This window comes from Homo sapiens, chromosome 16, assembly GCF_000001405.40.
Source record: "Homo sapiens chromosome 16, GRCh38.p14 Primary Assembly".
NCBI classification, from domain to species: Eukaryota; Metazoa; Chordata; class Mammalia; order Primates; family Hominidae; genus Homo; species Homo sapiens.
The window spans coordinates 57,086,827-57,100,537 of record NC_000016.10 but is presented as its reverse complement, the minus strand read 5'-3'; the positions used below and the strand labels follow the sequence as shown (position 1 = coordinate 57,100,537).

Here is a 13,711-nt window from a genome sequence, read left to right as displayed (position 1 = left end):
ATTGGTCCTTCTGTGTCTCAGTTTAGTTTTCTCATCCAACACATGGAAATTACAAAATGCTTGACGCACTGCAGATACTGGCTCAAAATGAGAAAAACCTCTCCATGGCTTTCGGCTGTTCTCAGGACAACATCCAGGTTCCCTGATGAAGCTCTCAAAGTCCCCTCCCTCACACTTTTGGCTCTAGCTCTGCTGTTTGCCACACACAGTTTCAGCAAGTATTTTTCGTGCCTCCCTAATTCTGCATATGCTGTTCCATCTGCCTGGAATGCCCTTCCCCCTTCTTCACTTAGTGATTTCTTTCTTCAAACTCAGCTCAGTAAAACCAAATGCAGCCGGGCATGGTGACTCATGCCTGTAATCCCAGCACTTTTGGAGGCTGAGGTGGGCGGATCACTTGAGGTCAGGAGTTCGAGACCCAGCCAACATTGTGAAACCCCATCCCCACTAAAAACACAAAAACTAGGCAGGGCATGGTGGCTCACACCTGCAATCCCAGCACTTTGAGAGGCCGAGGCAGGTGGATCACAAGGTCAAGAGATCAAGACCATCCCGGCTAGCATGGTGAAACCCCATCTCTACTAAAAATACAAAAATTAGCTGGGCGTGGTGCACGCGCCTGTAGTCCCAGCTATTCGGGAGGCTGAGGCAGGAGAATCGCTTGAATCCAGGAGGCAGAGGTTGCAGTGAGCCGAGATCGCACCACTGCACTCCAGCCTGGCAACAGCAAAACTCCGTCTCAAAAAAAAAAAAAAAAAAAAATCAAAAATTAGCCGGACATGGTGGCGGATGCCTGTAATCCCAGCTACTCAGCAGGCTAAGGCAGGAGAATCACTTGAATGGGGGTGGGGTGTGGAAGTTGCAGCAAGCTGAGATCGCGCCACTGCACTCCAGCCAGGGCAACAGAATGAAACTGTCTTAAAAAAAAAAGCACTATGCACCCACCCCCACCCCCAGGACGGCCAAAATTTTAAAAAGCTGACCATACCATGTGTTGGCAATAATGCAGAGCAACTGGAACACACACAGGTTGCCAGAGGGAGTGGAAATTGGTGCAACCACTTAGGAGAAACATTAGTGCCCAACGAAAACACTCACGTATGTTCACCCAAAGATACACACAGGAATGTTCATGGCAGTGCTAATCCAAATAATCCCAACTGGAACTCCCCACCCAAACCCCCATGATTGGAAGAAGGGAGACATAACTGGTGAATGAACACACAGCAGACCACATACAGCCAACTTGAAGGAAGAACACAGGTAGCAATAACACGGATGGGTCTCACACGTGCTGTGTGAAGGGGGCCAGAGAGAAAGGAGTATGTCATCCTATATGATTTCACTTAGGTGCCCTTAAACATGGACAAAACAAATCTATGCTGCTGGAAGTCAGGATAGCAGTAGGACACGTGGACGGGTGTTACTGACAAGAAGGGGACACCGGGGGCTTTGGTGCTGGTCGTGTCTGTTTCTGATCTGGGTTCTGGTGACCCAGATATGTTGGTTTGTGAACAGTCATTGACTGGTCCATGTAGAATGTCTGCTCTATTTCATGTTACACTTCAATGTGGTAAAACAAAAAACAAAAAACACCAAAACCAATAATCCAGGGACTCCTCTACAAAGCCCTTCCTATTTCCCTGGTCCTTGAGAGGGAATCACTTACAATATCAGCATACTGTAACCATTGGCTTAGAAGCGTCGCCCTCACTGGAGCTTAAAGATGGAACCAAACCCTGTTTCCATTTCGTTGCTCCCAACACCCAGAGGCACAGAATGGAAGCTCGACACAAGTTTGTTGAAAATGAGGAAGAGTGAAAAGGTGAGAGGAAGAGGAACCATAACATCTTGGAATTGTAGAGGCCCGGGACTAGAGGTTCACAGAATTCCAGAATTTGGGAATTCTGGGATTTCAGAGTCATGAGTTCTTTGAGTCTCAGAGCTAAAAGACTTTAGAGTTTATCTGGCCCCACTTTCCAGCCACACAGGAACCCTGGCCACAGCCTGGCTGCCCCAACATCCTGCATCCTGGTTCTGGTGGGCAGGGTCCAGCCACAAGCCTTATTCTCTGGGGCCCTTGCCGCATGCCCATTGCTGCACCAGCTCCTGCCAGGCGACAGGCAGCCCCCGGGGAGCAGGCTGGCACTCCTGACCAGGTGGGGGCGGCACCTTGACACAAATCATTTCTGCACCGAGGCTACGGCACCGGCTGCTGTGCTCCAAAGACACCACACTCCAACAGGCAGCCAGGCCATTACGGGGATAAATACAGATGCAGACAGCATGGCGAGGAGGCTGCAGCAGGGGTTGGCCCTGAGGCCCCCCTGGGGACCCCCAGCTTCCACCAGACCACATTCAGAGGGAGGTCATTCTCTGTAGTGCCCGCTTAATCACTAAGCTCTGGCTCTTAGGGGAGGTGGCTTCCCTTGGGACACCCCCACCCCCACCCTCCCAGGCCCCAGGTTCAGCTCATCCTGCACTGGAAGGTTTGTGTCACTTATAGGGGCTGACCTAGCAGGCTGAGAGGCAGCCTCCACTGTACTTCCTGTGAGTCTAGGGACTGGGTTTTGTCCTCTCCTGCCACTCCTCCCTCCTGGGCCTCAGCTCCTTCCCCTCCGGCCTCCCAGGAAGCTCCACATGGGGATAGGCACGGAGTGCTGTGGCTCTCCGGAGACTCTGAGTACTTAGGGGACCTTGGGAGTGGATCTGGCCAGGCTCAGAGGGCAGGGGACTCCCATGGAGGAGGGAATGGGGAAAGTTGTACGTCTGAGAGAAGGTGGATTTGCCTAGGACTGAAAGACTGGGGGCTGGGGAGGTGGAGGATGTGAGGTCCCCTGGGTGGGACGTCACCTGCTGCCACTGCCTGCCCACCCAAGGGACTGAGGTGTGCTGGAGAAAGTCACCCATTCCCTATGCAACCTGGGCCATGTGTCCTAACCTCTCTAGCCTCAGTTTCTTCATACAGGAAATGGAGCTGCTGCTAACTAGAGCTGTCCCCACTACTTTCTTCATGATGTTCTTAAGGCAGCAGTGAAAAGCTGGTACACTGAAGAGGGTTGTGCACAGATGTAATCCCTCTTTCACTTGGGACTTTGGGTCTCCACCTTCCAGGAGAGCTTCCCTCACCATGCAGCCATCCATTTGGTTGTTCAACAGATGTTTCTTAAGCAGTTCCTCTGGACCAGGGACTTTGCTGTGTGCTGGAGGGGCAACCATGATCAAGACACACTCAGGCTCTGGGCATAGGAGTTCGGGATGGAGTTGGGGGAACAGAGAGGTGAGCAAATGACAAGGGCAGGAAATCTCAGAGAGTGGAAAATGTCATAAAGAGAATAAAGCAGGGTGAAGTGATTGTGATAGGGCAGTGTGGAGGAGGCCACATTTGAGCTGGGATGTTAATAGACCAGGAGCCCCAGGAGAGCAAGGCATTGGTCTCTCTCGTTCATGGCTGTATCCCAGCCATAGCTGGTGCCCAGCAGGTACTCAGTGAATATTTTTGAATGAATGAATGAATGGGCTCCTGAACCAAGCTAGGCATGTCCCCACCACAGGGCCTTTGCATGCGCTGTTTCCTCTACCTGTTCCCCAGCATGTGTAAAGGCCCTGTGGTGTGGACATGCCTAGTGTGGTTCAGAAGCCCATTCTCCCTACAACTCTACTGTATCCCTGCAGGCTTTTGTGTCTTATCAGGAGCTGAGGATATCTGGCCTGCCTGATGTGCCCTGGCTGTCCCCTCTCTAAAACACAGGAGGGAATATGCCCAACTCCCAGCAGACAACTCCTGCAATCCCTCTTTCCTTTGGTTGGACCCCAAGTCTTTTTTTTTTTTTTTTTTTGAGACATGGTCTCACTGTTTCACCGAGGTTGGAGTACAGTGGCACAATCATGGCTCACTGCAGCCTCGACCTCCTGGGCTCAAGCAATCCTCCCACCTCAGTCTCCCAAGTAGTTGGGACTACAGGCATGCACCACAACACCCAGCTAATTTTGTTTATTTTTTATTTTGGTAAAGACGGGTTTTTGCCATGTTGCCCAGGCTGGTCTTGAACTCCTGGGCTCAAGTGGTCTGACTATCTTGGCCTCCCTCAGTACTGGGATTACAGGTGTGAGCCACCACGCCCGGCTCTCCCATCAGTCTTTCAGAGACATGCCCAACCTGAGAAAAGTGTATTGTAAGAGTGCAGTGAATGCTGGGAGCTGAGCTACTGGGTTTCAAACTCTGGTTGGCCATGGGCTAGTTGAGCACCACACACTGGATGGCTTAGATTCTCTCACAGTTCTGTAGGCTACAAGTTTGAAATCCAGCTGTCAGCAAGGCCATGCTCCTTCCAGCACTCAGTATGGTAAGCCAGAGATCCCTCCAGAGACTCAAGAGGGCAAGCTCGTAATTCTCCCAGGATCCATCACTCAACATCACAGACTCATTTAACAGGAGGCTGCAAAGAGGGGCAGGTGCAGTCATTCCTCACACAAGGATTTACTGAGCACCTACAATGTGCCAGGCACTGTTCTAAGTGCTGGGACATGGCCCTAAACAAGACAGACACTGTTTGCTCTTGCCTTTTTGTGGATCTGACACCCTTTGGGGAGGGAGGCAGATAAGCTGGTGCACCAATGAGTAAAGAAGATGGTTTTAAAGAGTGGCAAATGCCCCAAGAAAAATACAACCAGGAGATGCAGCAGTGAGGAGGGATGGTGACACAATCTCACTAGTCAGTCTCATTGCAGACCTCAGAGCAAGTGTGGCCAGATAAGTAAGAAATGTTCCATGGTCGGGCACAGTGGCTCATGCCTATAATCCCAGCACTTTGGGAGACCGAGGTGGGTGGATCACCTGAGGCCAGGAGTTCAAGGCCAGCCTAACCAACATAGCAAAACCCCGTCTCTACTAGAAATACAAAAATTAGCTAGGTGTGCACCTGTGATCCCAGTTACTTGGGAGGCTAAGGCACAAGAATCGCCTGAACCTGGGAGGTGGAGGTTGCAGTGAGCTGAGATCACACCAGTGCACTCCGGCCTGTGTGACAGAGCAAGATCCTGTCTCAAAAAATAAATAAATAAAAAATAAAAAAAGGAAGAAAGAAAGAAATATTCCAGGGTATGGAACAGCAGTCTTCTTGACTCTGCCATGGGAGTGACAGCCGAGGTCCAGTGGCCCAATGAGGGCAGAAGACATTGGGATGTGAGCCAGGAGGCGCCTCTAACCTGGGCTCTGTCCTCAGGCACTGTGGGACCCCTATGTCCTCCCTTCTGGACAGGGAGGTGGGGAGATGTGTGATTGTGGACTTTTCTAGATGCTGCCTGCCAAGATCACAGGGTGACCTGGCATCCCAGCTCCCACAGAGCCCACACCACCGTGTCTGGCAGGGTTGGGGGAGATCCCACCTCCACTCCCTGAGGCCATATTCTGCAAGGGGGAAGGAGCTGGGTCCTCAAGGTGTTTTGCTCCTGATTCGGTAGCCCCAGTGCCATCTATGAATAAGGTTCAGGGGAGGGGAGAGGGACAGAGACCTCCATCAGGCTGGGGGCACCCTGACCCTGAGCTGAGGGCTTCTCAGATCGGGACCGTGCCTGGCGATGATGCCTCCTGCTCTGACAGGAGGGAGAAAATTACTAGAGAGTGCTCTTTTGTTTTCTGTTCACTCCTTAGAGCCCTGTGAGGCCAGCCAGATGTGGGGAAATGGGGACACCTGGATGAGACCTACCACTTCTCCTGGTCTTCTTTCACCCCAGGCCCCTGCCCCTAGAACAGCCCAGAAGTCCTGACGGGAGGGGGAGGAGCAAGCTGGCCTGAGACAACCCCACAAAGGATCCTGGATGCAGTCACCCACATCAGGCTTCTTAATATTCCCATGGATAATGACAATGACAGTTAACCAGGCACTCACCACGTACCAATAAGTGCTGGCACCCGAGTCCTTGCAATCTAATTTAATCCTACCTTTGCAGAAATACACAATTACCTGAAAAGAATATGAAGGTGTATAGATATAAAAACTGAGGACTGGGAGGAGGACCAGATGGGGTCCAGTACTTACTGTTTTACAGACATAGAAACCGAGGCTCCATTCTCAGCCATCTTCTTCCCTTATGCCCCAGTTTTTAATTCTCATGACATTCCAGAGGGAGTGTCCGTTGGAACACCACCAGAGACACCACACTTGCCACTCATGAAGTGCTCCCTACTTGCAGAACGTCTGCTCCCTGTTCCCCAGTTCCAGCCTCCCAGCCGCCCTACTGTAAGCTGGATCATGTCACAGTTTGCCTCATTTTACAGACAGAAAACCCCCCAAGTCCAAGGGGTGACAAGGCACGCAGACAGGAAGTGACGGCCGCAAAACGAACCCAAGCGTCCACATCCTTCGTCCCTGGTTCTTTCCATGGAGAAACCTGCCTGGGTGACCCCTTCCAATCCAGCTGGCTGGGGCGGTCCTGGAGCTCACCTGGACCTATGCCAGGCGGAATGCCATAAAACCACGCCTTCATGCTGTGTCCATTCTCCAGGAGGCAGGCCCCGGAACATCAGCCCATTTCACAGATGGTGACCCAGAGGGCCACAGGGGGGGAGGGTCTGGGCCAAGTTCCCTGTTGGTCATAGGTGGGGTTCAGACCCAGGTCTCCCAGGCCTCCCCATCAGGGCAGGCTGCAGCTGCCAGGGATTACAATCTGCGCACACCGCCTGTTTCCTGAAAACCATGGGCTCCCTGCAGTCCGTGAAGCTGTGGATGCCCAAGGGGCAGAAAAAGCCCCCCAACCTTTGATGACAGCACACACCTCTAAGGGAGCAAAAAACTAAGGCAGACAAAAAAAAGGGCGTTTTGTCTGGAAGATCATTCTTCCAGACCCCTTGTCCCTTCCCCCAGTACATATGGGGCAGGGGATTCAGATGCAAGATGAACACCCTATTAGCTACCAGAGCCAGCAGCATCTGTGACCTTGGGCAAATCACAGCCCCCTTTGAAGCAGCCCCTTCCCCATAGGAGAGCTTCTTGAACTCGGGGGGACGTGGAGCGAGGCTGGGGGATGGGGTGGGAAGAGCAGGGAAGAGGGTGTAAGACCCCTCTATTTTCAGAGGAGCATCGCTGTGAGAAACGGGGAATAAGAGAGGGCCTTGTTCGCCCGCTCTCTCCATGCCCACCCCCACACCCCCTTTAAACACACAGGTGCCAGACAGCTTTTTCGCAAAAACTAGTTTGCAAACACACTCCGACTTCTGGGAAGCTGCCCAGCTCCACTCCCCCTCTGCGCTCCCAGTACCGGGGCTGGGAGCCGGCCCTCCGGCAGTTGCCTGGGGCAGGGGGTGGGTGTTGAGGGGTGGGAGGAGGGCAGAGGGGAGCGGAGAGGAGCCAGCGCCCGCCGAGAGCCAGGGCGACCTCACGCCTTCAGCAGCTGCGGCAGCGGCGGGTCTCCACCTCCCGTACGCCCTCCAAGCCCCTCGGGGCGGGTGGAAGGGTCCCCAAAGCAGCTGGGCTCGGACCCCCGAGGGCGCCCCCCTCCCCAGGGACCCCGCCCGCCCTTCCCCGCAGTCCGGGAGCCGGCGGGGCGCCCCCGCGTGGCCGGGTCGGAGCTGAGTCACCGAAGCGCCGGAGTCCGGGTTCGCGCTGGCGGCGGGGGCTAGAGCGCCGCAGCCCCCCGAGGCGGAACCCGGGTTCCTTCGGACCCGCAGCTGGATCAAAGAGCCCAGCCCCAAGGCCGAAGTTGGGCACTCACGCCAAGCTGCCCCGCCTGCCCGGGCCCCACTCACCGCAGGTCCCGCGGGCGCCACCGCCCTCACCGCACGGCTGCCGCTGCCCGCGCTCCGAGCCGCCCGGGCATCCCCGGGAGCTGCTCCTGCTCGGCCGGGCCCGCGGGCGCGGGACAGGCTCAGGGCGCTGCCCGCGCGGCCACGGCCCGCTCGCGTGCGCTCCCAGCCGCTCGGGGTCCGGTCCTCCTCCCGGGCCGGGCGGGCGGGCGGCGGCGGCGGCGGCGGCTCGGGCTCCTCCCTCCGGCCGAGGAGGGGAGTGGGGAGGGAAGTGGGAGGCGAGGCGGGAGCTTCCTGGAGGGGCGCGCGCTCTCCCACGGGAGGAGCGGGGGCGCTGTCCCGCCCGCAGTCCGCCGCTCCCAGCCCGCGCCCGGCGCGCCGCGGCACTCGGGGCGCCTGGCACCGAGGGGGCCCGAACGTTCGGGCCGAACGCGAGGGTCCGAAGGTTCCAGGCTGGGACTCAGGTGGCTGAGGATCGGAACAACGCGGCTTCGCGCCCTCCCCAGGCCTGCTTTGCCCGAGCCTCTGGCACCTCCGAGTTCCGAGCGCCGTGCGCTCAGGGCCACCGACGCGGGAACAGAGGGGTGGCCTCAGCCCGGGCCTGCGGGGCCCCAGGGCCGCTTGGACCCCCAGCGCCGATGGGAGCGGCGCTGCGCCCTCGGGGCAACACCCAAGGCTGGGTTCTGGGTTGTATTGGGCAGGATTAGGGCCGCAGTGTTTTCTTCCCTTTTTTTTTTCAATAGCAAAAGAGCTCGGCATTTTCTTGCCGCCAGAGATTGGAAATATGACATATTTCTCTGACACAGACGATAAGATAAAGACGGATCCGAACTGGGCCTGGGTCTACTCATCCGTGCGGAAAATTAGGCGAGTCTTTAAGGCCTTGGAGCCCAGGCCTCCTTTTCCCTAGAAGAGGCACCAATTCTTAGGACACTTGTCTGTCGCTGGGCGCTCAAGCCTTTGGCCACTCCGCGGTATTTAGGTGCTCTCTGGGCAAGTTCACCACCGGGCATCAGAAGGCTGAGCCTCACGTAACCAGATTCTGGGGGGCGGGGCTTTCCCGGGGATCTCAAGGCCATGTCCACAGCCCTTGGCCCTGGGGCTCAAGGACTGGGCAGCTGAGGGTTAATGCCGAGTGCTTCCATTGTGGCTTTTCGATTCCAGGCAGGTGAGGGTTAATGTGGGAGCCTCGCGCGCTGCAGCCTGTGAGCCTCCCTCCACGTCTGAGTCACTGGCACTTTGCAGCCTTACAGGGGCCGAGACTAAACAGCCCCCGGGGCTCTGAGCTTTGTTCTCTGCCTGCCTGTCACCCATCCATCTTTCCTTTCTCCAAGCTCTCTTCACCTTTCTTCCACCGAAGCCAATCAAAGCCCTCTGCCCCGCTCTGGGGCAAACCAACCTATCAACCCAACTCCAGCCCCGCTTCCTCCAGGAAGACTTTCCTGATTGCTCTGGCCTCAGAATCTGTCTCTTGTCTTTCCAGCAGCAGGAGAGCCAGGCACTGGGATGGACAGTGGTGAACCAAAGCAGATAGTCTCTCTCAAGTTGCTCACCTGTGGGGGCCAAGATCAGGACCCAGGCCATCATATCACCATATGAAATGTGCAAAGATTGGAGGTAGGGTGGCACAGAAGACCCAACTCAGCCATGGGAGTCAGCGAGGCTTCCTTTAAGAAACCTGAAGGATGAGATAGTTGGGCCTGTCAAGGAAGATACTAGATCCCTAGCCAAGGAGGCAGAGTACAAAGGCCAGGGGTCACAGCAATTCCACTCCTAGATATCTACCCGGGAGAAATGAAAACATATGGCCACACAAAACATACACAAATGTACGTAGCAGCATTATTCATAATAGCCAAAAAGTGGAAACCACGCAAATGTTCATCCACTGATGAATGGAAAAACAAAATGTGGTATATCCACACAACATAGAATATTATACAGCCATAGAAAGGTACGAATTACTGGCCAGTTGTGGTGGCTCACACCTGTAATCCCAGCACTTTGGGAGGCCAAGGCGGGCGATTACTTGAGGTCGGGAATTCAAGACCAGCTTGGCCAACATGGCAAAACTCTGTCTCTACTAAAAATATAACAATTAGCCAGGCGTAGTGGCAAGAACCTGTAATCCCAGCAATTCGGAAGGCAGGAAGGAGAATCACTTGAGCCCAAGAGGCGGAAGTTGCAGCCAAGATTGCGCCACTGTACTCCAGCCTGGGTGACAGAGGGAGATTCCATCCCCCCTCCAAAAAAAAAAAGAAAGGAAAAAAAGAAAGGTGGGAAGTACTGATACATGCTACAGTATGGACAAACTTGGAAAATATTATGCCCAGTGAAAGAAGCCAGTCTCAGACAAATATTACATGGCTCCATTTAGATGAAATGTCCAGAATAGACAAATCCACAAACAGACAAAGCAGATTTGTGGTTGCCTCGGCCGGGGAGTGGAGAATGGGGAGTGATTGCTATTGGCAAAGGGTTTCTTTGGGAGATGATAAAAAATGTTCTAAAGTTAGATTCTAGGCAGAGTGCGGTCCTGCCTGTAATCCCAGCACTTTGGGAGGCCGAGGCAGACAGATTACTTGAGGCAAGGAGTTCAAGACCAGCCTGAGCAACATAGTGAGACCCCACCATCTCTACCAAAAAAAAAAAAAAAATTAGCCGGGTGTGGTACCTGCCTGTAGTCCCAGTTAGGAGGCTGAGGTGGGAGGATTGCTTAGGAGGTTGAGGCTGTGGTGAGCCATGATCACACCACTGCACTCCGGCCGGGGTGACAGAACAAGACCCTGTATGAAAAAAAAAAAAAGTTAGATTATAGTGATGATTGCACAACTGTAGGTATTCTTAAAACCACTGACTTACACACTTTAAAAGGACAAATGTCATGGTGTATGGATTATATCCCCATAAAGCTATCTTTAAAAAAAAGGCCAGGGATCAGGAGAGCCCTGAAGAAGTTGATTAAGGCCAAGGATCCATCACAGGTTGATTCTACATGCTTTATCCTCATTCCACACCCAACACAAGACTGCAAAATGTTAAACGAAGTCTTTCCCTGCCCAGGTGGAGACCTCTCAGTGCACAGTGGGAGGCCTGAAGGCCCCGAAATAGACCCATGTCAGGGTATGTGTGTCAACACCTGCCATCTGGGTGTTTATTTTCACAGTCCAGGCTGTTTGGACAAACGGATCAGAATACCCAGGTTTGCCCATGCATGTCAGTGTGCTCGTGAATGAAAGACACATTGAAGGAGCGCCAGCTGTTCAGGGATCTGGCTGGGCCAGGAGTGTGTGAGGACTGGCGGAGGGAGGGTGTTCCAGTTATTTATGTTGCATCGCAGATCACCCCAAAACTTATCCCTCACACTTCCGGGGTCCTCAGGGCTCATCGAGGGCAGGTGTTGCACAGTGTTTCCCATACAGTTGCAGTCAGATCATGGTGGTGGCTGAAATTGTCTAGAAGGCTTTCTTGAACATATGGCTATCACTGGACGCTGGCTGTCATCTGGAACCTCAGCTGGAATTGTCAGCTGGAACACCTACCTGAGACCATTCCTTGTAGCCTGGGCTTCCTAGTGGCATGGCATAGGGTTCCATGAGTGAGCATTTCAAGAGAGGCAAGTGGAAGCGTTATCATCTGTTTCAGGCCCTTGCCTTGGGAGTCACATAATGTCACTTCTGTTGTAGTCACAGAGGGGTGTCACCGTCACATAATAGGAAGAGCATGTGGGACGGAAGATACTGTGATGGCTGTCTTTAGAAAATACCATGTGCCACAGGGGGTTGATATGGAAACATATCAGGATCCTTGAGGGATCCCCTCAAGGATCTCCTGGTTAGAGGCAGGTGTGGCTGACTCCATTGTCAAACCTCAGGCATGGAGTCATGGCCATGAGTTTGAATCCCAGCCGCTCAGCGGCTGCCTAGGTGAAATCACTCAATCCTCTGGCCCTTGCTCTCCTTCTCTGTAAAATAGGATAGACTTAGTATTTGCTTTATGGGATGGTTGTGAGAATCCAATGAGACAGAATTCAGTGAGACCGTAACGTGCCAGGCAAGTGTAGACAGCAGGGCTAGTGTATAATTGCTATTTTTTTGTTGTTGTTGAGACGGAGTCTCGCTCTGTCGCTCAGGCTGTAGTGCAGTGGCACGATCTCGGCTCACTGCAAGTTCTGCCTCCCGGGTTCACGCCATTCTCCTGCCTCAGCCTCCCGAGTAGCTGGGACTACAGGTGCCCGCCACCACACCCGGCTAATTTTTTGTATTTTTAGTAGAGACAGGGTTTCACCGTGTTGGCCAGGATGGTCTCGATCTCCTGACCTCATGATCCACCTGCCTCGGCCTCCCAAAGTGCTAGGATTACAGGCATGAGCCACCACACCCGGCCATATAATTGCTATTTTTTAAGTTCCAGGGTTGTGGTCACTCTGATGCAGGGACGGTCCCTTTCTAGGATCAGGATACCCAGACTTCTCCAGCCCTTCCAGACAACCTCAGACACCTCCCTCAGCTCTGACCCTGTGCTGAAGTATGTGTGGGTGTGTGTTGGGGAGTGGGAGGTGGAGGACTAAGGGTCCCATGAGGACCACTGATGCCTCTGGCCCCAGGCTCCTAACCAAGGGGTCCCCAGTTGGCCTTTCTTCCCTGGGGAAAGCTCCTCTACTGTTCTCTCCTTCCCAGGGCAAAGGTCTCTTTCTGGACAGCTAGGTTGGGGTGTGTGTGGGATGAGCCTCCAGGTGTGGCTTCCAAGGGCCAAGGGGAGGGTTCTTCACTGGGGTAATTGGGAGGCAGGACAAAGACCAGCAGTCCCTGGAACTTCCTGAGCCTTGCCCCGGGATGAGATGATCTTTTTTTTTTTTTTTTTTTTTTTTTGAGATGGAGTCTCGCTCTTTTTGCCCAGGCCAGAGTGCCGTGGTGCAATCTCAGCTCACTGCAAGCTCCACCTCCTGGGTTCGTGCCATTCTCCTGCCTCAGCCTCCCGAGTAGCTGGGACTACAGGCGCCCGCCACCACACCCAGTTAATTTTTTGTATTTTTAGTAGAGACGGGGTTTCACTGTGTTAGCCGAGATAGTCTCGATCTCCTGACCTCGTGATCCGCCCGCCTCAGCCTCCCAAAGTGCTGGGATTGCAGGCGTGAGCCACCACGCCTGGCCGAGAGATGATCTTTACCAAACCAGCCACTGAATGGTCTTTCCTGGAAGCTCTGGATGTGCCTAGAGTGCATCACAGGTCCTCAGGCCTAGCTTTGGCCATGAAGGGTAGGGTTGGGGGCAGAAGCAGAGCCCAAGAAGGGTGCACAGCCCTCCTGCCTTCCTGAGGGTCTCTCTCTCTCCAGGGAACACACAGACCCGCAGACCAGTTAAATCTCCAGTCCAGGACCACTCCAAAGTCACCCTTTCCTTTTGTTCCAGAGTTGGAGTCTGAGCCCCACTAAATACTCACTGTGTGACCTTAGGCAAGTCATGTTCTCTCTCTGTGTCTTGGTTTCCTCATCTGTAAAATAGAGGAGATTGTTGCTGTGATTGTTGGGCCTAGAGTACATCACAGCTGGCGATGCTCTACAGAAATAACCAGGCAGGGCAGGTGGCTGAGGATCCAGAACTCTCCCCAAGGGAGTGCAGAAATGAGCCATAAGATCATCTTTGCAGCTGAAGAACATAGGTCCTCGTGCCTAACCTCCTTTTGCTCATCCCCTTACTATACAGATGAGAAAACTGTGGGTGTCACAGGAGTGACCTGGGTTTGATTCCTGGTGCCACCAGTTACCAGCTTTGTACCTTTGGAAAAGTTAGGAAAAGTCTCTGGAGTTAGTGTCCCTCTCTGGGGAGGGAGGGTCATGGGATCCTCAGGACAAAATAAGGGGTGCAGGTGCAGGTGCAAAGGCTTGCCCAGCCTCTCCAAGAGACGGCATACTCCAGACCAGTGGGTCTCCACTGCGGCTGCACACTAGAATCACTCAGGGAGCTT

At 54.0% G+C, this 13,711-nt stretch overlaps 1 protein-coding gene across 1 annotated transcript in view, besides 4 other annotated features; it reads right to left on the bottom strand.

Annotated features, from left to right (window-relative positions):
- The window catches only part of CPNE2 (copine 2), a 55,787-nt gene extending 47,832 nt beyond the window's left edge, over nt 1-7,955 (bottom strand). Inside the window, exon 1 of the mRNA NM_152727.6 lies at nt 7,748-7,955. The gene's annotated coding sequence lies outside the window, so the exon portion shown is untranslated. The remainder of the gene's footprint in view (nt 1-7,747) is intronic.
- Nucleotides 7,464-7,873: a silencer, noted in NCBI's record as "silent region_7522". NCBI's record gives its function as "represses an Ori minimal core promoter by ATAC-STARR-seq in GM12878 lymphoblastoid cells {active_cell/tissue: GM12878}" and the evidence as "EXISTENCE:reporter gene assay evidence [ECO:0000049][PMID:35858748]".
- Nucleotides 7,934-7,983: a silencer, noted in NCBI's record as "silent region_7521". NCBI's record gives its function as "represses an Ori minimal core promoter by ATAC-STARR-seq in GM12878 lymphoblastoid cells {active_cell/tissue: GM12878}" and the evidence as "EXISTENCE:reporter gene assay evidence [ECO:0000049][PMID:35858748]".
- Nucleotides 8,094-8,343: a silencer, noted in NCBI's record as "silent region_7520". NCBI's record gives its function as "represses an Ori minimal core promoter by ATAC-STARR-seq in GM12878 lymphoblastoid cells {active_cell/tissue: GM12878}" and the evidence as "EXISTENCE:reporter gene assay evidence [ECO:0000049][PMID:35858748]".
- Nucleotides 8,364-8,433: a silencer, noted in NCBI's record as "silent region_7519". NCBI's record gives its function as "represses an Ori minimal core promoter by ATAC-STARR-seq in GM12878 lymphoblastoid cells {active_cell/tissue: GM12878}" and the evidence as "EXISTENCE:reporter gene assay evidence [ECO:0000049][PMID:35858748]".